Raw genomic sequence first — 788 nt, forward strand, 5'->3', positions numbered from 1 at the left:
GTTCAAGTGATTCTCCTGCCTCAGCCTCCCAGTAGCTGGGATTACAGGCACCCTCCACCACACCCAGCTAATTTTTTTGAATTTGTAGTAGAGACTGGGTTTCACCATGTTGGCCAGGTGGGCCTTGAACCCCTGACCTCAAAAGATTCACCCGCCTCGGCCTCACAAAGTGCAGGGATTACAGGCATGAGCCACCGTGCCCAGCCCGGGATTTCATTTCTTTAGTTTGTCCCTTTTGAGAAAAAAAATCAGGTTGTGGGATGTGGAAGCTGCTCATTTGTGAAGAGTTCAGATCTTGCATCTTGTAGTTTGAGTCATTCTGTGAACTCTGTCACTCAGAGGGAGATCCTAGCACAGGGCCATGACATAGTAGGTGCTTTGTATGTATAGTGGAGTGAGGAAAATTGAGTTAAATGAAATAGCTGCCCTCAAACTCAGGAGTCAAAGAGGAAACGTCCAGGCAAGCTCTCTATCACCATCTTGTGGTCTCTACCAGCATCTTATGCTTGTACAGTACACCCAACCCCACATTACAGAGGGGAAAAGAGGTTTGGTAATAGTGTGGGGGCAGAAAAGGTCAGAAATGTTCTCTAAGGGCAGGACTGGCTCCCACTTTGGTGAATCTACCCAAGATTTGGTGGGTACACTGACCCACAAGCAAGGGCCTTAGGAGTCCATTCTCTGTTTACAAAGGCACATCTCTGGGATGGAGGTAGGCTGAAAAAGTGACTTATTCTGAGATATCTAGGTCATCCCAGGACTAGAAGAACACAGTCCAGGAAAGTTCC

The 788-nt window shown here is 47.6% G+C and overlaps 1 annotated feature.

The window, feature by feature from the left end:
* Positions 510-559: a silencer, noted in NCBI's record as "silent region_21000". NCBI's record gives its function as "represses an Ori minimal core promoter by ATAC-STARR-seq in GM12878 lymphoblastoid cells {active_cell/tissue: GM12878}" and the evidence as "EXISTENCE:reporter gene assay evidence [ECO:0000049][PMID:35858748]".

This window comes from Homo sapiens, chromosome X (assembly GCF_000001405.40).
Source record: "Homo sapiens chromosome X, GRCh38.p14 Primary Assembly".
NCBI lineage: Eukaryota > Metazoa > Chordata > Mammalia > Primates > Hominidae > Homo > Homo sapiens.